Source organism: Homo sapiens, chromosome 12 (genome assembly GCF_000001405.40).
Source record: "Homo sapiens chromosome 12, GRCh38.p14 Primary Assembly".
Lineage (NCBI taxonomy): Eukaryota > Metazoa > Chordata > Mammalia > Primates > Hominidae > Homo > Homo sapiens.
The window spans coordinates 79,288,041-79,310,452 of record NC_000012.12 but is presented as its reverse complement, the minus strand read 5'-3'; the positions used below and the strand labels follow the sequence as shown (position 1 = coordinate 79,310,452).

Below are 22,412 nucleotides of genomic sequence, written 5' to 3'. Positions count from 1 at the left end.
TCACACTACCTGACTTCAAACTATACTACAAGGCTACAGTAACCAAAACAGCATGGTACTGGTACCAAAACAGAGATATAGATCAATGGAACAGAACAGAGCCCTCAGAAATAACGCCACATATCTACAACTATCTGATCTTTGACAAACCTCAGAAAAAGAAGCAATTGGGAAAGGATTCCCTATTTAATAAATGGTGCTGGGAAAACTGGCTAGCCATATGTAGAAAGCTGAAACTGGATCCCTTCCTTACACCTTATACAAAAATTAATTCAAGATGGATTAAAGACTTAAACGTTAGACCTAAAACCATAAAAACCCTAGAAGAAAACCTAGGCATTACCATTCAGTACATAGGCATGGGCAAGGACTTCATGTCTAAAACACCAAAAGCAATGGCAACAAAAGCCAAAATTGACAAATGGGATGTAATTAAACTGAAGAGCTTCTGCACAGCAAAAGAAACTACCATCAGAGTGAACAGGCAACCTACAAAATGGGAGAAAATTTTCGCAACCTACTCATCTGACAAAGGGCTAATATCCAGAATCTACAATGAACTCAAACAAATTTACAAGAAAAAAACAAACAACCCCATCCCCAAACTAATTCCTGATAGCCAATCTGTGCTTAAGATGAATCTTTCTCTATACAATGTTAACAGTACCTTAGGTAAAATGTACCCATGAACATTAAAACTAGTTGTTAGAAAGATTTAACTAGCTTTATAATTTAAGTTTTAAAGCATAAATATTTGCAGCTTGATCTTCTGTTGACAGTGATTATCGGAGCCTAGAATTCAACATTTACAATTTCCATTCATGCACACAAAACACACACCATTATCACATAACTTATTCCTCAGGTCTTAAGAATCTTCTGCTTTTAAAAATCTTTGGCCTCCCAGTCAATTCCATGTTCAAACAACTTTTAACTCAAACTTTACTCTCAGATTTCTAATAAGTTTTCCACCCACAGATTATTAATGCTTTTCCTAATCTTTCATGTTGTACCACCAAAATCTGAAGCTGGCCTCAAAGAGATCATCAGATAAAAAAAAAAAAAGAAACATAAAGTGGTTATTTCAAAATAGAACATGGGAGGTCAGAATTCAAGATTCCCTACTGGGATCATATTTTATTTCACTGCAATGAATAACTGCTATCAGTAAGAAAAATCCTACATTGGACTCTTTCGTACTGTTTGGCGCCTGGCCAAAGAACCTACAAAAATGTTTTGGAGTACATGCCCTTTTTTCATACAAAGTGCCCCCACAGGAACACCAGGATAGCTGCAGTTCATTTGAGGCCTCACTTGTAGAAAGAGGCTATCACACAGACAGCCAGGACACCCTCCAGTTTGTGGAGATCCTTGAGAAAGTATGATTTTTAAAAATCTGGCCTGTACTTGTTTCACCGGCCTTTTTCACTGTATAGGAAAGTGGCAGCTGGTCTGCCAGCACTCATACTACTGCTCTTATCCTAGGTTTGCCATGTAATAGCTATGGTTTTGGAATCTCCCAAGTGATATTCTATAAAACTTGAAGGAATAGTTATGTCTCCTAATTCCAGGCTTACAGTTTCCAAATATCGTTTACTGTTGTGTATGTGCAGATGATACACTTGTAGACTCGCTCATTATCCCCAGCTCTGGTGTGGTGTTTCAGGTGTGCAGTATAGGGACCATATCGATTGGTATTGTAGCCACAGTGGTCACAGCGAATACAGACCTTGGAGAAATCTCCCTCTTCTGCAGTGGAAGAGCCAGATTCCTTGTCTATTGCTTCCTTCTCTTTTCTTTCTTTCTTTCTTTCTTTCTTTCTTTCTTTCTTTCTTTCTTTTTCTTTCTTTCTTTCTTTCTTCTTTCTTTTCCTTCTTTTCTTTCTTTTCCTTTCTTTCTTTTTTCTTTCTTTCTTTCTTTATTTCTTCTTTCTTTCTTTCTTTTGACGGAGTTTCGCTCTTGTTGTATAGGCTGCAGTGCAATGGCATGATCTCGGCTCACCGCATGCAAGCTCCGCCTCCTGGCTTCAGCCTCCCGAGTAGCTGGGATTACAGGCATGCGCCACAACACCGGGCTAATTTTGTATTTTTAATGGAGACAGGGTTTCTCCATGTTGGTCAGGCTGGTCTCGAACTCCTGACCTCAGGTGATTCTCCCGTCTCGGCCTCCCAAAGTGCTGGGATTACAGGCGTGAGCCACCGCGGCCTGCCTCTCCGCACTTCCACAAAAAATTTCTTGGCACTGTGCACTCTGATGTGATGCACAAACTGTTCTTCAGATTCTGCTTCATATTGGCATGACTTACAGCGAAAGGATTTGGTCTTCGAGTTCTTGCCTCTGTCCTCTGTTCCAGGTGTTTCAGGAGGAAGATCTTTATTTGAGCTGTAAATCTCTGGAGCAGCTGATGCTTCAAATGCAGGCTGAAGTTCTACAACGCTGAGTTCCAAACGTCTCAGCCCATGAGGTTCACCTTTCATTTCAGCACTCTTCGAGGCCTTCTCCTTCTTCACTATCTGAAAAGCTGTCATCCCCAACAGGCATCAATTTTGCCATCTGTCTTTCTTCACCGACCAGGTAATCACAGCAGCTGCCATTTACTTTCCCACTGAAGGCCGCATTTGCCAGCAAGACAGGATGAGGTGAGGCCAGTTCAGCTTTAGAGAGATCATGCAAGTCATACATGCCGTTAGGCAAGGCCATTCCAATGTTGCCATTGCCGGTAAACAGCCCTTCTCCTCCAGAAGACTGCCCCATCTGGGTGGCCATGACTGTAATCGCAAAGGCTTCGTTCGGGCTCCTCCTGCCGCCCCCCCCCACGCCCCCCCACCCCCACCCCCAGCCCTTCCGACCATCCCCGGGCTCGCCCAACGCCCAGGGCCAGGCGCCCCGGAAGTCTGCAAATTTCATTCCCCTGTGGCTCCTGGGAGGACTCCAGCCTCAGCCCCGCCAGCTCGGAAGGTCAGGTGGCCGAACGTGGGGGTCTATCTTATTCACCACTGTATTCCCTGAAGTTAGCACAATACCTGGCTTATAAAAGAGGTTTAATATATGATGAAATCAGTGAAAGAATGAATAAATAAAATTAATTTACAGTATTTAAAAGTTCTTGTTCATAATTGGCAAGAATTTAATCATGTTTAAAGCAAGTAAGTTTGTGTGTCTGTGTATGCTTCCTCTCTCTCGCATTCTTTAATTATTTAAGCTCTTGTTTTTCAGCGAGTCCTCATTCTCCTCCCTTATTCTGTAGTACAACTAGTACAAGTCAATCACTGACATTTCATCTAATTGCAGAGTAACAGATTGTAATGGATTAAAGATTTTACAGCACAAACATTTGGCCTGCTCAAAGGTAGGTAGGAGTAAGACAGAAGGTAAAAACATCTAATTTTAAGATTCACAAACAAGATAAAAAATATTGCTCCCAAGCATATGATGAACTCAAGAGAAAAGATTACATTTGAATAGGTTTAAATCTGTGGAAGACAGAACAAAACATTCTCCTGTGTTGCTCACATTGCTTCCCACTCAAAACCCTTTTCATTATTTCAGTAATATGAAAAACCAGATGTAAACAAGGCTGCTCTTGTCTACATCATTATTCTCATTCTCCTTTTGTTTTATATTTGTTCCCATTTCAACTCCCACTCCTCACTTTCTGCTCTGCCAGCTTATACACATGAAATCCAGGCTCCCAAATCCACTTTGCTCTGCTTTATTTAAAATTCAGCTGAAAACTCTCGGTCCTTTTATTCTTTGGATAAAAAGAAAACCTAATACTTACATTGATTTCTATTAAAACAATTATATTTTCTTGGTACTATGTGTATCAGAATTTATATCTCCTAATGAGAATTTTCCCCATAGCAAACCATTTGAGAGACCATGTAATGATGTTAATGCTCAAAGCATTTAGGACAGAATCAGAATATAAAACTCACAAGAACATCCATCTCATCACTTTCCCACAGTAATTACAACTGTTTTACCCAATTCGATCATCAACTAATAGCCTATACTTGACCCTACATAGTTATGGCCATTTCAATGAGATTTACCTTTTCAAAGCAAAGACAAATCATTATTGAGAACAGATAATGTATTATACATTGAGAAAGATACTTGGAGAGAGGGACTGGAATTCAAAAATATTTTAGGATACTACAGTGCAACTGGAATGACTGGGTATCTTTTAAAGATGACTCTCTCAAAGGTGATAGAACATTAGAATGCATATTTGTTAAATTCTAATTTGTTCAACCAATCTACTTGAAAATATTTATTTAAGCACTTTGGATGTTGCAGTCACAGTGCAATGTGCTGGGCCTAAGTAGATAAACAAAACAGACAATATCCTTGCACTCTCTTAGTGGCAATATGGCAGTGTAGAGAGAAAATGGGTTTGGGAGCCAGACAGACCTGAAAAGACCAAGAGAGACTCTTTAAAGAAAATGGTGTGGGCCAGGTGCAGTGGCTCACACGTGTAATCCCAGCACTTTGGGAGGCCGAGGTGGGTGGGTCACTTGAGGTCATGAGTTCGAGACCAGGCTGGCCAACATGGTGAAACCTCATTTCTACTAAAAATACAAAAAATAGCTGGGCATGGTGGCAGGCACCTGTAATCCCAGCTACTTGGGCGGCTGAGGCAGGAGAATCGCTTGAACCCGGGAGGCGGGGGGTTGCAGTGAGCTGAGATCACACCACTGCACTCTAGCCTGGGCGATAGAGTGAGACTCAATCTCAAAAAATGGCAAGTGTAGGCTTTTAGACCTGTGTTTGAATTGTAGTTATGGCATTGCCCGTGTAAACTTGGACACATTACTTAAACTTTCCTGGGTCTCAGTTCCCTTCCTTCCCTGTTTTGTAAAACAGATTTGGTAATGCCAATTTTGAAGAATGTTATGAGATTTTTTTTTTTGTCAGCATATAGTAGACTCTCAGTAAATGATAGCTATTATTTGTGTTTATAGGATAGGTAGAGAAGTTAATATAAGCTTTAATGAAGATGAACTTTGGAAGCTAGAGAGCCAGGCTGTGAGACCAGACCTTTGGGTGGTTATCACTGTGACAAGGAAGGCAGGTGCAGTAGGCTAAAGTATGACAACGTGAGGGAGAACAATGGAAGGTAGCCAAAGTGCATTTTGAAAATGTCCAGGATCTCTCCTTGCTTTAATTCTTGCTTCAAATTAGAGTCTAATTTATATTACTTTTCTAGGGAATTTAAAATAAAAAATATTGGATTTTTGTTTAGAAACTCTAAAGTGAGAATTTGGATTTCTTTTACCTCTGCCTGAAAAGTCTTTTTAACCAGAAAGGCAAGCAAATTACAGTCCTACATACTAGAGAGATATTTCAAGTTATTTGCTTTTTCCTATCATGTTCTTGGAAACCACATCACGAAGTGGATAACATTTATTATACATAAGAATACAATTATAATTGGTGACAGAAATTCTAACCAAAGACTCAAACTCAAATAAACCACAGCTATGACCCAAGATACTGTAAAAAATAAAACACATCTATACTTCTGTAGCAGTTTAAAGGGAAATCAATATGTTCCAAGTCCCATGATATGGACGCAGAGATACTAGGTACACTAATATATATTATAGTTTTAATATACTATAAAATAATTCAATACTACTAAACTATATCTACTATATTATAAAATTGATTAACAACAAATATTCTAGGCATGATAAACTTAGATTTTATTCCTACTCTTTGAGTTCTCCCTAGAACTAATTCTTTCCCATTTTCCTCTGGATCAATTTCCATGATGTAGGCAGAGACTTACACCATAGCTTTCAGTCTTACATTTAAATAAAAATTAAGGTAATCTATGAGCTCCATGTGCATTATGGAAACAGGATGAAAAAGAGGGTTACAAAGAGGGAGACACTAAATAAGCCTTTAACAAACAAACAAAAGTTGTTGAGACAAAATCTATTATCATTTTCAAAACCAAAAACAAAAACAATAACAAGGTTGATTTTGCTAAGCATCTGTACTGCCTCTATCTTTAAAGAAACATACCAAAAAAACCCAGAAAGGCACTAAACTATCTTCAGCATTCAGAGCTAGGACATTTTGCTGATTAGCTTTCAGAATACTTTAACCTTCATTTGTAAAATATGAACACAATGACTATTAACACGGACTTTAAAAAGGGCGTTTGGACACATTTCTTACAATACAATAAACATCTCCATTCATTCATTCAAAAATAGTTTTTCACGCCTATTGTGTTCTTGCCTCTGTGATTACACTTGGTGAGGAACCATAGACATGGTTGCTGCCTGGATGGAGTTTCAGTCCAGTGAGGAAGATAGACAATGAACAAGTAAAGAAAAACAAGTATAATTCCTGAAATGCTATGGATGCAAATTAATGTTTTTGTTGTATTTCTCAAATGTGATAGGTTGTGAATGAATGACCAGGAAGGTTCTTATTGGCATCCATGTTTAAAATTCCAACAATTAACCTTTTATAAGGATTTCCAATCAGGGCATTGATCGTTGGGTGGAGATTCTTGGAGAGCATAGTTGCCGTCTGATTGCTAAATGTACTTAGAAATAGCATCACTTCTTTCATGATCCTTGGGCATAAAAGATGCCATAAGGAATAATGACTTTAACTCATTCCAAGGAAGTACTAAGGAATTGACCATTGGAAGTTAAAAAACTGTTGCCATTTGATTGAATATGTATTCTTCACATGCTTTTCTGTGAAGTAAATCTTTTTCTAATTAGGCTTAAAAATGTGAAATTTTCTTGCAAAATTGATTTTCCATTAAAGCATTAAAGTAGTTTCTCTTCCCTTCTGCTTGGATACTAATTAAATTATGTTCCAACTTGTTTTAATTCTGCAATCAATTTTTTTCCATTTGCACTAGATTACAGAATCTCATTTAAAAATCACTCTTTACCAAATTTTACACAAAGCCGAGGTGATAGACTTATTCTCTAATGGAAACAAAACAATAAAACAGTACTGCTCAAGTCATGAGAGCTTGCAGCATATCAGGGCGGAATGTTAAAAAAAAAGGCTTAGTTTTTTTTTCTGGTGCTATCTATTCCTTATGCTGTTTTTAGAGATAACAAATATCAGTAGAAGGCATGGAGATAAAAATAAACTTTATAAATAGGAACAAAATGTTAAAATAAAAAGAGTTTAAATACTTTGATGATATACCTGATCCTGGGGTGCAGAACTGAGACAATTTTAAAACTGCACATAAGTGAAATTTATAAGAAGGGAAAAATGGAGTCATAGCTGTTGCTTGTAATGTTTGAAATAATTAAGTCAAAATATTAAATAGATTATTCTAAAAAGATAAAGATTGGTTTCAGGTTTGACTTGTGTATACAATAAATACTTATTTTTTGAAAGATTAAAGAGAAGAAAATCTCAAAGATTCAGCTTGGGGCTATACATATTGGTAGCCTTTTGCACACTGAAGAATTATATACTGATTACCAAGGATGATTTTGAAGCCATATACTGAGAAATAAAAAAATTAAGAAACAACAGTTTTATATATAACCATCTCTAGGAACTCAGAGGATACATATTTCTGTTTTAAAGAAACAAAAACAAGAGAAATGTTGACCTGTCTCCAAGGTCAAATTCCACCTTCATCTATTAGAAGGTGGGGAAGTGGAGGAAGAAAGTAGTCGACCGTGCATCACTGAAAAAACAAACCGGCAAGTGAACGGAAACCAGTGAGGTGGCTTTGATTGTGTAAATTTGCGGAACACGATCAAGCCAAATGGAAACCTCACCAGTGATGTTTCCACCTGGGGATAGAATCGAATAGTGGGAACAATGTGCTTTTGTTGTGGCTCTTCCTGGTACACCTTATCTCTTCCACATCACTTCCTTTTAAACATGGGCCTAGTCACTTCCAAATGAGGCTCTTACACTATCCATGTTCCTTCCCATTTCTTTCTAAATTGCTTGCACATTATTTGGTCGCTAAAATAGTACATAATCCTTTAAGTTACACAATTACTTCATCATCTTATGACTTATAGTTGTCAACTTTCTGGCAATAAAACCTTACTCCATTTAATTAACATCACAGAGTTGGCTGTCAGTGGGTTTGATTTAACCTCTTTAAATCCAAGTCTCCGGCAGAACAGCTTACTATGATTAGCAGTACTTGTTCTAGATTCCAAAGCTGTTCCTTGAACTCCTTTTTCTCACTTTCTTTGATATCTTTCATCTCATTATGACATTAAAAATAATGCTTAACACTGCTAGATGAAAGCAAAACTAAAATCATGAACAAAATTGCTCATGTAAAGTGGAAAAACAATTTCTTTAAAATCATAAAACTAAAGTCAATCTAAGACTTCAATTTATTCACACAATTATAATTTTCTACAATTAATGGACAGTGGCATGAAAAGTTAGAGCAGATATCATTGAGAATATGTAATTCTTCAGATATAAAATGCAAGTGGAATCTTACTTCCTTTATAATGAAAAAGTTTCTAACTGGGTCTAGTCATCCAGAGATACTTTGTAAGCTAGACATCTGTCTTATACAGTTTTTTATAACCTATACCTTGATAAAGAGAAATAGTCTAACTGAAAACCAAAAATTTCTATTCCTGAGTAGAAATCAAAGAGGAAAGTCTCTAGAGTTTTACGAGTGTAATGATAAAATTAATATTTCCCATTAATAACTCCTACAGATACTCAGTAAGTGCAATGGTGAGAAAAAGGATAGCGAAGTAGATAAAAATAGAGGGAAGAGACACAACAAATGAGGAGATGAACACACAAAATGGGGAAAGAGAACACACACACAAAATTAACCAAGAAAAAGGTATGAGAGACCTCTCACTTAGTGAACATTTACCATATGCCAGACTCTATGCTGGGTACTTCATGTTCTATTCTATTTCATCGGTAAGTAAGATAAGGGGTAAATCATGTTAGGCCACTTTCTAGGTTAAAATTCTGAATGGGCAGTTTACCTAAACCCCTAGATTCTAGAGTGAAACCCGTCAGCCTGGTGTTAAGTTTCAAACTCTGCTCGTACTCAAAGATTTCTGAAAGAGGAAACTTGCTCAATGGTCCACATTCCCTTAGCTCAGAAAAAAACATTGCACAATTTTTCAGAAACCCACTGGGTGTGATCTTGGATGTCATTACCACCTGATAATTATCCAGGTGAAAGTAACAAGTGTGAACCATGCACCCTGCACAAGTGGGCATTGTGAAGTACCAGTGGTTCATGTTCTCATATTCAACCAACAAGCCAACCAAACACCAGTCAATTAATAAAACCAATCAGTTAATAAACATTTCTTATGGTCCTACTTTATCACCCAAAAAATTTACACAAAGTCAAACACTTCAACAAAAAAGTCAATGAAACATCCCACTACTTTGTTAAATAATTATAAACATTGTAACTGAATGATCGAATTTTTTTTTTCATGAAGATGTCTGTAACATTACTATTAGTTCACTTATAGGAAAGAACTATCCATAAAATCATATAATTTTAAAACTCGGTATTTTTCCTGGGTATTCTTGAATATCCACAGTAGGGCTAAATCTGTGTCAATGTCTAAGAAAGGTTAGTCAACATTCTTAGATATTGAGACAGTAAATATATATATATATATATATATATATATATATATAATAAGTATACATGAATATTATATACAAAAATACTTAAGCTCTGCTCTCTTTTTTGGAAAGTATAAGTATACATACTTTTTTCCAAAAAAAAGAGCAGAGTTTAACTTAAGTATTTTTGACTCATTTTGTAAAATCAAATAGCAAACAGCAATGTTAGAGTGAAAAGTTCAATTTCAGCATGGGAATTAATAGGCCTGTTCTAAAACCTCATTTCATCATATAGGGGGTATAAAGTTCATAGCCTCAGATTGGTCACAGAAAACCTTAGGCTGAGAGGATTCCCAGGTGATGGACTTGATTGAGTTTCTCTGAAGGCCTGACGTTCTCTCTGATCTCCCTGGTGACCCCAAGAGGCCAGGGAATCCTAGGGACCTGGAGATCCTAAATGACTGAGCTGTCAGCAATCTCTTGCGTAATTACAGCCTTACGTCAGGAACTAAAGAGTGACTGCGAAAGGAGTTGTTTTAGGAATTTGGAGAAGCTAAGGGTTGTTTGCTTTTCTAGTATTGGTCTACTGAAATGTTTGCAGAGAAAAATGCTGGTGCCAGGCAGGCATCGCATAATCAGATACAATTGATTATTATGAAGCTTAAATGCACTAAACATATTGAACTTCCCTTTTCAAGTCATGGAAAAATACTGGGCTAAACTATTAAAACTGGGAATAAACAATGTGAGGAGTAGCATAAAAATGTGAGTCATTTAAAAAATGGATTTAATATCAGGCTTTGTGAATTATATTTGATGTTTGACCAATCATGCTCTCGTATCTTTAGGAGAAACAATGAACTGTCTGTGATATGCAGAAACAATCAAGGAAAAAGTACCATTTTATTTCTGTGTAATAGCTACATAACCTATGCAGAAAACACAAAATGATTGTGGAAAAATGAGAAATAAAATAATTTTTCGTTGTCATTTTAAAGCAGTAGTTTATGAGTGTGTGTGGCCTTTTGTAAGCTTTTAGAAAGAGTTCCTGTGGGCATGTGTGTTTGTTTGTGTCCAGGGTTGCTGTTTCTAGATCCAGTACACAAATGTCTCTCTTCTTTCAGATAACACCCAGAAGACCTGTACACTTTTTAACGAGGTGGTGCAGTGCCCTTGACCCTATTTTATCAGCTGTCAACAACTAGAGGCCCACATCCCCCTTTGTAAAGAGTATTTCTCAATAAGTTATTATATGAGCAGCAACTGGCGAGTACAGCTTGTGATGTTAGAAATGCTAGTAATTCCCTTACCTCTTCCTTCTCAGCACTTTGCAGGTCACGCCATTCCTCAGTTACATGGCCAAAATCCACTGTGTTCATAGGGACTTTAAATTCTCCAATGATGTCATGCTTAGAGAAACGATCAAAATCATATACAGCCATCACTAGGGTTTTGCCACCCAATTCCGAGTATGGTACCTAAATTAAAAGACATGAGGATAAAATATCCAGTCACAAAAATGCTTAAAACATGTTACTTGTTCATGGTGCTTAATTTAATATTTACGTTGCATAAACAGAACAGGGAGATAATTTTGTTTTTGGTTATTTTTTAAATTCAGACTTTTGACAAACTGCTTGAGGCTAAAATTACTTGAGAGAAAATGGGAAATTTTAGTGATTTATTGCCTTATCTCAAAGTTCTAGAAGCTGTTAGCATTATTAATAATGGATCCTGCTGTTAGTTATACTATAAAGCCTTAAGATTAATAAAACAATAAACAAGCCAATTGCATTTGACTATAAGTAAGTTTTTCTTGTAGAATATTTTGTTGTTATTGTTGTTTTAAGTTGTATTGTCAGGGTGTAACTTACTGAGGGGCAAATAACTTATTTCAAATGCTCCATTAACTCTTTCAAGGCATTTAAATGCCACAGTTCAATGGAGCAATGATTTATTAAAGGCTATGCTAGGAGTCTGAAAGGATTGAAATGATATTCACAAGTGCCTCACCTACTCCCTAAAATAATTTGCTGATTGACAAGAACTGACTAGGAAATTGATGTTTTGAATATAAGAGGTGCATTATAATATGGGTTTTGAAGTTCATTCTTGGGTATGACATGCCTTAGGATGAGTGGTGGCAAAAGGCCAAGAACTGATGAATTCTCCAGCTGTTCAAATATATCTGGGACAGATGCTATGGGTTGGGATGTTTATTAGTGACATTTTTAATATTCAGTGAAAGCAGTGCAATCCAAGTAAGCTACACTTCAGTAACTGGGTAGAAATACCTAATTAAGAAATTGTTTAGACTTGTCTTAAAGGTTTGATCAATTTTCATACACTTCCTATTATTTTATCAGTGTAAATGGTTGTCTTATGCTTCAGCAAACATTTCTCAATTAACTCTGTATATTAAGGAGGGAAGAAAAGGAAGAATATTGGGCCATCTACATACAAGAAATTTTAGTTTTCCAAAGAGTTTTTCTTTTCTGTCATTTATTTACCATCTGTTTGGAACCTGATTATTTTATTAAAATGATATGATTAAAAAGTAAGCATCATCCTTTTTCCATTTTAGAAGGAATGGAAAATAAACCCTTCCAAAGAGCTGACTCTCAAAGAAAGAAACAAAATTTTTTAGAGTAAGGATAAACCCTTGAAAATGTTATTGTATATCTAAAATCTCTCTAGACTTTCTAGTGATTGTACTCAAAGAGCAACAGTCAAAAACCTGGACTTGGGGTCAGACAGACCTTGTACCAGATTTGGACTTTCCAACTAAAGGGCCTGGGGCACGTGATTAAACATAAGTTTATTCATCTATTAAATTGTGATAATACTGTAATAATGGCTGCTTCATGGGGCTATTTTAGGGATGAATGAATATATGTAAAACACCTAGCACAGAAGAAGCACTTAAAAATATTTATTGTTTGAATGATTAGTAGCTCCTTCAGATAACTGTTTTGGGGGAAAAGAAGATGAATTAATTTGGGGCATGTTGAGTTCCTGTTAAGTGATTTAAATCCATTGTAAAGCCAGGCTTCTTTAAAGTCTTTTATACTTCCATTCCTGTATCATATTGCCTCTTGGCATTTCAAGATGAGTAATCTACAATGTCTAACCAGTTCTCTAGAAAAATTGAAGTATTTTTTAATATAGCAGAATATATTATACTTTGGATTTATGTATAGTTTGATCAACCTTTCTGAAATAAAATGAAACTTGATAAAAATGTATAGAGAATTCAAAAATTTCAATAATTATACTTGGTTTTATAGAAATTACTAATAAAATTATTAGCATTTTTTAAAGAAATAATAATGTAGGTAATGCAATACAAAACAAAGCCCCAATACATTAGCTCATATAATTTAAGAATTTCCTTACTAAGTTTTGGTCAGAAACTGCTGACCTAAGTTAAGGTTAATAAATAGATGAATAAAACAACTGTGATTACTATTACAATATTTTTAAAATTTTATTTCCATTTTACGTTTCGTAGTATGTTGACTATAGTGATTAAGCTTCATGAGCAGATACTCTTCATGAACTGAGTATTTCCAGAATGTCTTTACTGCTACTTTAAATTCACTGCTTAGGTACAGAAAAACCAGATTTTAAATAAGATTACTGACAATACATGAGGGACCTTTGTCTTGAAAACTCAGAAATTTTAGAGTGAATAGAAAGACACTTCCCCTTTACATAATTGAAAACAAGGTTTGAGAAAATGACTCATGCCCTCATTTTCAATTTATTTCATCCCAGAATGTTTGCCAACACAAGGCATATGCTAAGCCTGGCTGATGGACGTGGTGATTTTGAATTAGCCTGCTGGCATATTCACAGATATTTCATTTTTCAGAAACATATTGTTCTAAGTAATGCATTAAAAAGTTTTTTTCGCACGTTAAAGATATCCACCAAAAGAATTGTTTTTAATGAATGATTTCAAGCCAAGATCCACGAAGATCCTGGAGACCTGCAGGACATGTTTTCCTGATGAGATATTATATGGCTGGAATCTCTCTGTTGTTTGTCAACTGAGGTGCCTCAACAAGATGAAGAACATCAGGGCAGAACCTAGAGTAAAGGAAGAAGGCTAGAAATGCAATAAAAAATATGTTCATATTCCTTTTATTGATTAGTTAAGAAGAATGACTTTGAAGTGCTCAAATTGCCCTCTACACACACAATTTTGTTACAAGAGTCATGTCTATTTGTACCATTTAAGCATTGGGACACAGCTTACTTAATCCTGGGATTGTAACAGATGTACTTATTTTCACAAACTTTGAAATTCAGAAAAATAATGATTTCATTCCTTTGGCTTTATTTCAGGGAGGGATCTCACTTTTTAGATGTGACTATGACATCCTAGTCATGTTCTAGTCCATTCCATTCTGAAATGACTGAACCGAATCCTACTCTGAACACGCTGAAAGGCAATATCGAATGTTGACTGTAGTGAAGATAAGAATTTTGCATATTCTGACTGGAATTATTGTGAGTGCCTGAACAAGCATTCATGTGCATGTCTATGTATGTGTCAGGATGAGATCAGTCTTTTAAGTAAAACAACAAAGGAAAGGTTATAAATAAATGTTAACAAATACCTTGAAAGTAAATTGCTCATTGAAGACAGGATTAAGGGTTTTTCGGTGGACTTTTGTCTCAAATTTCTTCTTCTTATCAGGTAGCAGAAACACTTTCACGTAAGGATCAGATGTGCCCCCCATGTCCAAGGCGGGCAGTTCGGCAGCCTGAATGATCCCTACCAGCAGCTGAAATAAATGACAGAATACAGCATACATAAATATCAGTGGACATTTTGGAAAAGATCGATTTGTTCACAATGCTGCATATTGGGATTTCTCCCTCTTCCTATTTATTTTTAATAAAACTCTGATTCTCTTATGAATCTGAACACAGAAGGCAAATGAACTGAGCTATGTAGACTTCAGAAACCCAATTATGACTGATGCAGGCTCTGGGAAGCCTGGTTTTAAGCACAAAAGAGGCTTTTAAAAGGTTGCTGATTGCAGTTAAATATGGAGTTCATTTTTGCAAAAGAGTTGTAATCAAATAACTTTCCAGTTGCTAAAAGCTCTTGTGCATTGTTTTTCTTTCCAGAGCATGATTTGTAAGTGAAAATGCATTGTTAAGCAATCACAAGTTTGTAATTACAAAGTGGGAAACTTTTATTCTTTATCAAAGCCTCAGGCTAGCTGAGTAGAAATTTCTTAGAAATTGGGTAGCATTTTGAGATAAAAAATAAGATCTTCTAGTTTCTATTATATTTGACCTTCACTGGTGTGCAGACTACATTTATTTTAACTTACAGTAGAATGATTATTATCTATGAGATTCTGTGTTTAAATATAGGACACGGAGTAAAAGAAATGTAATTTCAGCTTCATAGAAAGCAAGGGAGATTAGAGGTGAGGTTTTTTAATGGTGAGTAACTGTGTTTTTTATTTTTTCCAAACACCACAGAACTATTACATTTCTTTAAGTCTGTTTTCTTACTGATGCATTCTTAAGCCTCATTATGAATATTAAGGTATTATGGTATGGTTAATATTTTTGCGAAGAAAAAAAGAGGTGTGAGTAGACTATCATAGATACTCTGCCATTAGAGATTTTGTGTCAACAGACTGATTTAGATCCATATAGGTAACAAAGCAGACTCTTACTGTTATTCAAGGTATATGCTATTTTGTAAATGCAGTAACACCATAGGTTTTTACATCTCAGCCTGAAAAATCTGAGTTCATGCCTTTTTAGCTAGTAGAGTAAAAAAGCAATTCCCCCTCTTAAAAAAAATGCATAACCATTTTAATTGTGACCCACCGTGTACTTAAGTGCATTTTGGCTAGGTGGCTCAACTTTTAACATGGCCCAATAACCTGAATGATTATGTTGTTTCTATTTTAATGCTTCAATATCTTTTTTTTTTTTTGTGGAATCATGATACAACAGTGGCAATAAGAGTGCTAGATTGTAGGTAAACAAAACACAGACAGATGGTCAAAAAACAGCTAAAATAGGCATCGGATTATAAAGACATGATTAGTAAAGGAAACAGTCTGTCTCTTTGTTTGCTAAGTAGGTATTTGGTATTTACCTTTATGTAGTAATGCGAATAAGTAAGATTCTACTTCCTCATCCTCACTTTTTATAACCAATTTTCTTTTGAGCAGAAAAAATGCTAGAGAGATGGCTTAAACTCTTTAGAAACTAGATGATTTATAATTTAGAGTTTTTGGATATTTTGTTAATAAAGAATGAGGTTACTTTTTACAACCTTGTTCTGACTTCTGCCTAAGAGATAAATATCACATTTCTCTGTACCATGAAAGCGTCTTAATTAGAATATTTTAGGGTTGTCTTTTAGTTTTGGTAAACATATATTTGATCCAAACTTTATGAAGTTTTTCAGACTTTAACTTCCTGCTTCTTAGGAATCACTTTATAAATCAAATTAACTGAGAACATTTGGGAAAAACCAATGTGTAATATTTTAAAAATTCATCAGTTTCTCAGAATGAAATAACTTTTTAGATTTGATGTTTGCTGAAAAGGGAACAGTAAATGTACTCTCACTATATTTTAGTAAAAAAATTCTCAGTGTTATTATTTATTTTCTTAAAAATACTACTTTATAAAATGATACTTATAGTATTAATAATTAAAGCTAACTTGAAAGCTTCAAAATTATGACTAATCAGAATGAGACACCACTAGATTTCCACTGGAAAATATGAATGGTCAATATGATGAAAAAAATACTGGATGCATATAGAAAGCCAGATTAAATTTTTGGAAAATATGTTATATATTAAGACCAATATAAGTTGTCCTTGATCTTTCCTAGAATATATAAATAAGAGGTTTTGCTCCTAACCAAATCCTGATGCTCAAATTTTCATAGAAGTGATAGAAATGACCACAAATATCAGATGTAATTAACTAAAAATGGTATAACTACAAACCTGAACCTGTAAACCAATAATGTAGTTTTCTAGAATGTATTATGTAATAACTAGCCAGGGCTATAATGAAGCTGATCAAAAAATTATTTTTAATATGACAGTATATTTGTACATCCTTCATGAGGAACCCTCTGGAAACTTTAGAAAGTGAAGACATTATTAGAACTGTCAATTCCTAAATAAAGCACAGAATTTCTGCAACTGCTTAGAGCTCTCACAGCATTACTGACTTTGGATGTTAGTTATCAAAGATGAGCATTAGTGTTTCATTTATTTATTGTTCATTTCTCATCAAACTGGAAATCATTAGCACATGCTGCATTACTAGTAACTGTATTTATTTTACATTCATCAGTTCTTTACCCAAAAAGATGAGAGAAGCAAAATGAACTGGAGAGGTTTAAAACTTTCCTACTTGGAGAAGGGCTATGTCTTACAGATTTTTTAATTTTATTTTATTTTATTTTATTTTATTTTATTTTATTTTATTTTATTTTATTTTATTTTATTTTATTTTATTTTATTTTATTTTTTGAGATGGAGTCTCGCTCTGTCGCCCAGGCTGGAGTGCAGTGGCACGATCTCGGCTCACTGCAAGCTCTGCCTCCCGGGTTCACACCATTCTCCTGCCTCAGCCTCCTGAGTAGCTGGGACTACAGGCGCCTGTCACCACGCCCAGCTAATTTTTTTTTTTTTTTTTTGTATTTTTTGTAGAGACAGGGTTTCACCGTGTTAGCCAGGATGGTCTTGATCTCCTGACCTCGTGATATGCCTGCCTTGGCCTCCCAAAGTGCTGGGATTACAGGCCTGAGCCACTGCACCCTGCCTGTCTTACAGATTTTTAAAAACCTGGTCTCTAACTTAGCCTGTTCCCCTAATTCTTATCCAGCTTTCACATTTCTTTAACAATTCAGAAGGTGAGGAACATTTTCATCAACGTTGTGGATCCTGGAATGTCTTCAAATGAAAAGCGATTTTTAACAGTTGTCTTTCAGCAATCTCTATTTTATTGACAGGCAGTCAATAAAAGGTAGCCAATATTATCATTCATCTAGGTGACATTTCATGACTTCTTGAGAAATTGAAGCAAAAATGTCCGTTTTGTTACCTCCTTTAGTTCCTTGTCACTTTTTGGGCAATATTCCTAGGCACTAGAAGTAAGTCTCTGGTTTTCTCACTCTTTTAGAATTGCTGTCTCATTAGCACTAGGAGTTTCACCTAGTATCATATAAGGCCATCCTGCTTTTAAATTTAATGGACAAGAATTAATTTTTCATCTTCGATCCCTTATCAAATCATTATATTATTTTTCAAAAATTTGGCTAGAATAGCGGCCCAACTCAAAAGGCCCCTAGCCCTGTCTAGTTCTAAATCTGTAAAGTCCAAGGAAGGTTGCTGCAGCTCAGGCTGAGGAAGCTGAGAAGGTGAGACTGTGGCTAGAAGCTCTCAGAAGCAGACCGACTGCTTCAAGTTAATTTGTATTCTGTCTGCCTGCTGAAAGTGCCACAAGTAGATGTAATCGGTTGAATACTGTGAATTCTAATTACCAGAAGTTAAATTAGCAAGTAGGGGACTGCCTGTTCTTAGAAATTATTTCATCCATAGCTTTGATAATTGCATTTTCCCCTCACAGCAAACAAAATATTTTAAGAGGTATCTTGCTGCAATTTCTACTTGGTAATTTCAGAAAATGTAATGGAATTAGAAGACATTTCTCCACTTCAGACCTGGTTATTTTGGAAATCATAATCCAGTGAATACTGAAGTTTTCCCAGTTTCTCCTCTTCTTTGGGTTCTTCTTTTTCTTCTCCATCTGTCAATCCAGTTTCAGCATCATCATCCTTGAGGGCCTATGTATAGAGAAAGGATCACATGTGAATTTCAGAGTTTTCATCAAAACTCAAATTGAACTGGGCCTGTAGTTACACTTCCAAGCTGTTCGAAGCAAGCACTAAGATGCTGGAAATCTGTTTGTCTGACACACATTCACATTTGCTGCTTACATATTTTTTAAATTCCTTTTGTGCACGGAATTTCTTTCCCCAATCAGCAAGCAAAATGGAAGCGATGGAAGAAGCCCCTCAGAATATTGCAAGCAAAAAATGTAACATTGTTGCAAAGAAAGTGTCAACTTGGTGTTGTATTTGGCTCTGATAAAACTGCTGCTTTCAGAGGAAAGATAAACATGCTACTAACCAGGCCAAGTTTCACATTCATGTAGTTTAAAGAGATGCTCAGCATCATATAAAATATCATCGCTACATGCAGTGGAATAATTAATATAAAATGCATGGCCTTTTGTTGCCTTATTTCCTATGAAAAAGATAGTTCAGTAATGATCCTCAGAAAATTTAAATTCCCTGTGTTTCACATATACATTTATCATGGTATGAAAAAGAGGAAAAAAACATACCACCAGCAAATCCGTGTTTAGAGAAAAGTTCACCCCACTTCCAATTTCAGTTTACCACTTTATTTTCATAACAGCTCCACCAAAAGCTAGGCTGAATTAAATTGATTAAGAGTCTGTTTGATATCAAAAGATAAAAAGAGTTAAGTTTGCAGTTCTGTCAAAAACAAATTGGCATAAGAATTCGTTTTGTATTTAAGAACAAAATCAATTGTATTGAACTCTCAAAACTCAGTCTGACCAATTGAATACTCTTTATAACCTAAAACTTAAGTGTACTATAAATGGAAATATTAGAAAGCTCACTAACTCATAAGTTTCATTCAAATGCTCTTCTTTTTAAAAAATCAAAATATATAATGTGTTTTTCTAATATGCAAACATTTTGCTAAAAATATCAAAGGTTATAAGTACATGAAGTTTTGTTTCTAGGGATGTGTAATTCTTACTGCTTTAAGTAATTAGAATAATTAATTAGAAATCTATACACAGTCATTATTCAAAATTAAAAAAATACAAAATTACATTTTCCTGAGGTTGAAAAGATTACAAACTTTTACATTAACCATTTGTATTTTTTCTTCTGGGGACTGCCTGTACATATCCTTTGCTAATTTGTCTATGTGTTGTTTGCCTTTTTCTTATTGATTTGCAAAGGCTCTTTGTATTTTGATGATTTCAACTTCATTGTTGTGTTATATATCACAATTATTGTCTCCTGGTTTTAGGTTATAGCATTTTCATTGCTATTTTTGTATATGTGTATGCATGCATGTATTACTGTAGAATCTCACAGAAATCAAAATGGATAAGCCAGTGGTAGACTGTTTTATATCTCTGATAAAGTAAAGGAATCTTAACTCTTCTTAGCTCTCAAATTGAATCTAAGAATTCTCATAGAACTCAAATGCAAGAAGTATAACCAGGCTGTAGATAGGCATCAGTCATCAGACCGCAGTTCCTCCACTCTGCTACCCCCACATCCAAGACTACATGGTCTTTTTTCTTTGCTGTGTTCAGCATTCTCAGGAAGGAGATTCTCTGTTCAATCCACCCACTTACTCAGGGATCTTCAGTGGTGCTTCAAAATGGCACCCTCAGTCCTTGAAATTACAAGATTTTCTAATTTGGCTTCACCCGGTTAACTCCAATTTGATTCTAAAAAACTGAGACTCAGCTGTATCACAGTTTAATAGAACTCATTCAGGTGGGAAGGTCATATAAACAGAATTGAGCTGTTGTCAGTGATGCCTCCCCTTTGTTTGCTGGAAATTTCTTAGGAGCCTTCAGTGAGTTTTGAAAATTGAAAATTGCCATCATGATATACATCGGTGTAGAAACATTATCAAATTTGGTTAGCTACAAACCACTTAATTTGGAAAGTTTAATCTATGCTTCATTGTTTCTTTGAATGTTAAAATGTTGACTTACTAATAGCTAAAGGCAGGAAACAACATGAAAATATTTTAAAATTTATTTTAATTGTTTAATTTGTGAACAAGGGGCTTGGTCACTAAAGGTAACGTGATAGTAAAGTGACAAAAAAAAAAAAAAAAACTACTGAGTTTAATTAGAGAACTTCAGGCAGTGGAATCCCTTTGCCCTTTCAAAACCCTAGCTGTGTATAAGTCTTTAACACTGTCTTAGGTGTGCTCAGGAAATTGCAGCTTCGGTAATTTGCCTCCCTATAAGATTTTGGTTTTTAAAAAATAATAACAAGCTATTTAACATCTACTTCTGTTTGATAAATCTGCATGTTGCTCTATTATTATAATGAAAAATTCATTGATTAAAATACCTTTTTCAAAAGTCTCTTTCAGAACTGAATTTATGTATCATGTTTCAGCCCAATGCAATTTGAAATAGCTGATATATTAAATCTCCTTCTCCCTAAGTGGTTTTTACCTGAATAGAAGGCAGGACCATCTCTGCAATTATTCTGCATGAAATAGGGCTAAATTTTTGATAATTTCTCAGTGCTACTGTTCATCACTGAAGTGATTAAGTCTATTCCTGTCCCAAAGGCTGAGCTTAAGCAAGACATTTTCTGTACCATCATATTAAATTCAGACCTATTAAATCAGTAGCTATTATAATATCTCAAGAGCACTATTTTCCTCTTCATAGAACAAAATTCGGAAGAAAAAGCTTGTAAACCTAGCAGTACTGAGGTTTGATAAATTGCAGTAGAAAAAGCTGGGTTGGGAACATCAGACCTTATCTTAAATTTCAAAGATTAAGTGCGCATGCATATGGTTTGCTTTGACATTCAACAGGTGCTTTGTTTGCAACCATCAAAAGGAGCATTTGTTCATTCTCAGTTACATTGTTCAGATTTGGATTTAATAAGGCGCACTAGAAAAGTAGCACAAGGGACTGAATTTCTTTTTGTGTCCATCAACTTAAAACTTGAGCTTTCTAATACTGTTATATTTAATCTGTTAGCGTGTTTAAAATGAGAACACCTTATCTTTAAAAAAATCAATTTAGTTCAGCCTCTTGATGTGTGTCAGAATGATATACCCTCAGCTGTGGAGCCCCAGGTGCCAGGCCACTAAATGTATCTGAGCGTTGACTAGGGATGTCTAAGTAGCAGAGGAAACCTACCGCAAGGGACAGTCCAGAACAGTCATGAGACACAACACAGATAAGGACATAGAAGGAAGAAATAAAAATTAAAATATCCACACACATTAGTGAAAACCGTGGAGAAATGACCTTTCCAGACCTATGACTTTACATGTGAATATTTTCCCTCTGTCTGGTTAGTGTTCTCCAATTTTAACACATACAAAAGAACACATAAATATATATCTTATGCAACATAAATGTCTATACTTTTTGTAGTCATTGCAGAATATTTAAAAAAATCTTCCTTGGTTGCAAAACCTTACTATAGAGACATGTAGCCATGAATATTGAAATTGGAATTTCTGTGAATTTGATATGAATTAAAATGGTAAAAATGTATTGATTGTCCTAGAGCCTTTATATCTTGTATATAGAGCCTATATATAGATATTTCTTAAGATTAAGAAATTATATCTAAAATGCCTCTCACATCTGTCTTGTTTTTAAACGAGAAGGGCATAAGCCATCTTTATTTTCTTCCCCATGTTCACTTCAACATTCTGCTGAAGATATTTTGAAAATATAATTATTTAATAATAATTTTAATTTGTATTCATGCTGTTTTGAATTTTGGGTGATCTGGCGATCATCATGTGATGAAACATCCTCTTAAAATCTGCACATTCTATTTTGCTTTTTTAGCCTTCCTCTTCATAAAATGATGGAACCCATGATTAGCTACTTTTGTCTGCTTCAAAAAGTAGCATAAGCTATGGTTATATAAACGTTTATCCCTGGAGTGTATATTCATCTGTCCAAATTGTACCTTATTCTGT

General features: G+C 35.2%; 1 protein-coding gene and 1 pseudogene across 16 annotated transcripts in view; both read right to left on the bottom strand.

Moving 5' to 3' along the window:
• SYT1 (synaptotagmin 1) overlaps positions 1 to 22,412 on the bottom strand; it is a 588,027-nt gene that overhangs the window by 141,556 nt on the left and 424,059 nt on the right. For 11 of the 16 annotated variants that reach the window (NM_001135805.2, NM_001415940.1, NM_001415939.1 and 8 more), the window contains 3 exons: positions 18,323 to 18,445; positions 14,217 to 14,384; positions 10,902 to 11,069 (listed from right to left, as the gene is read on the bottom strand). In NM_001135805.2, coding sequence (NP_001129277.1) covers positions 10,902 to 11,069; positions 14,217 to 14,384; positions 18,323 to 18,445 — 459 coding nt within the window. The remainder of the gene's footprint in view (positions 1 to 10,901; positions 11,070 to 14,216; positions 14,385 to 18,322; positions 18,446 to 22,412) is intronic. The other 5 variants (NM_001415943.1, NM_001415941.1, NM_001291901.2 and 2 more) reach the window with 1 other exon arrangement.
• On the bottom strand, positions 1,386 to 2,890 carry LOC100420794 (RE1 silencing transcription factor pseudogene; annotated as a pseudogene).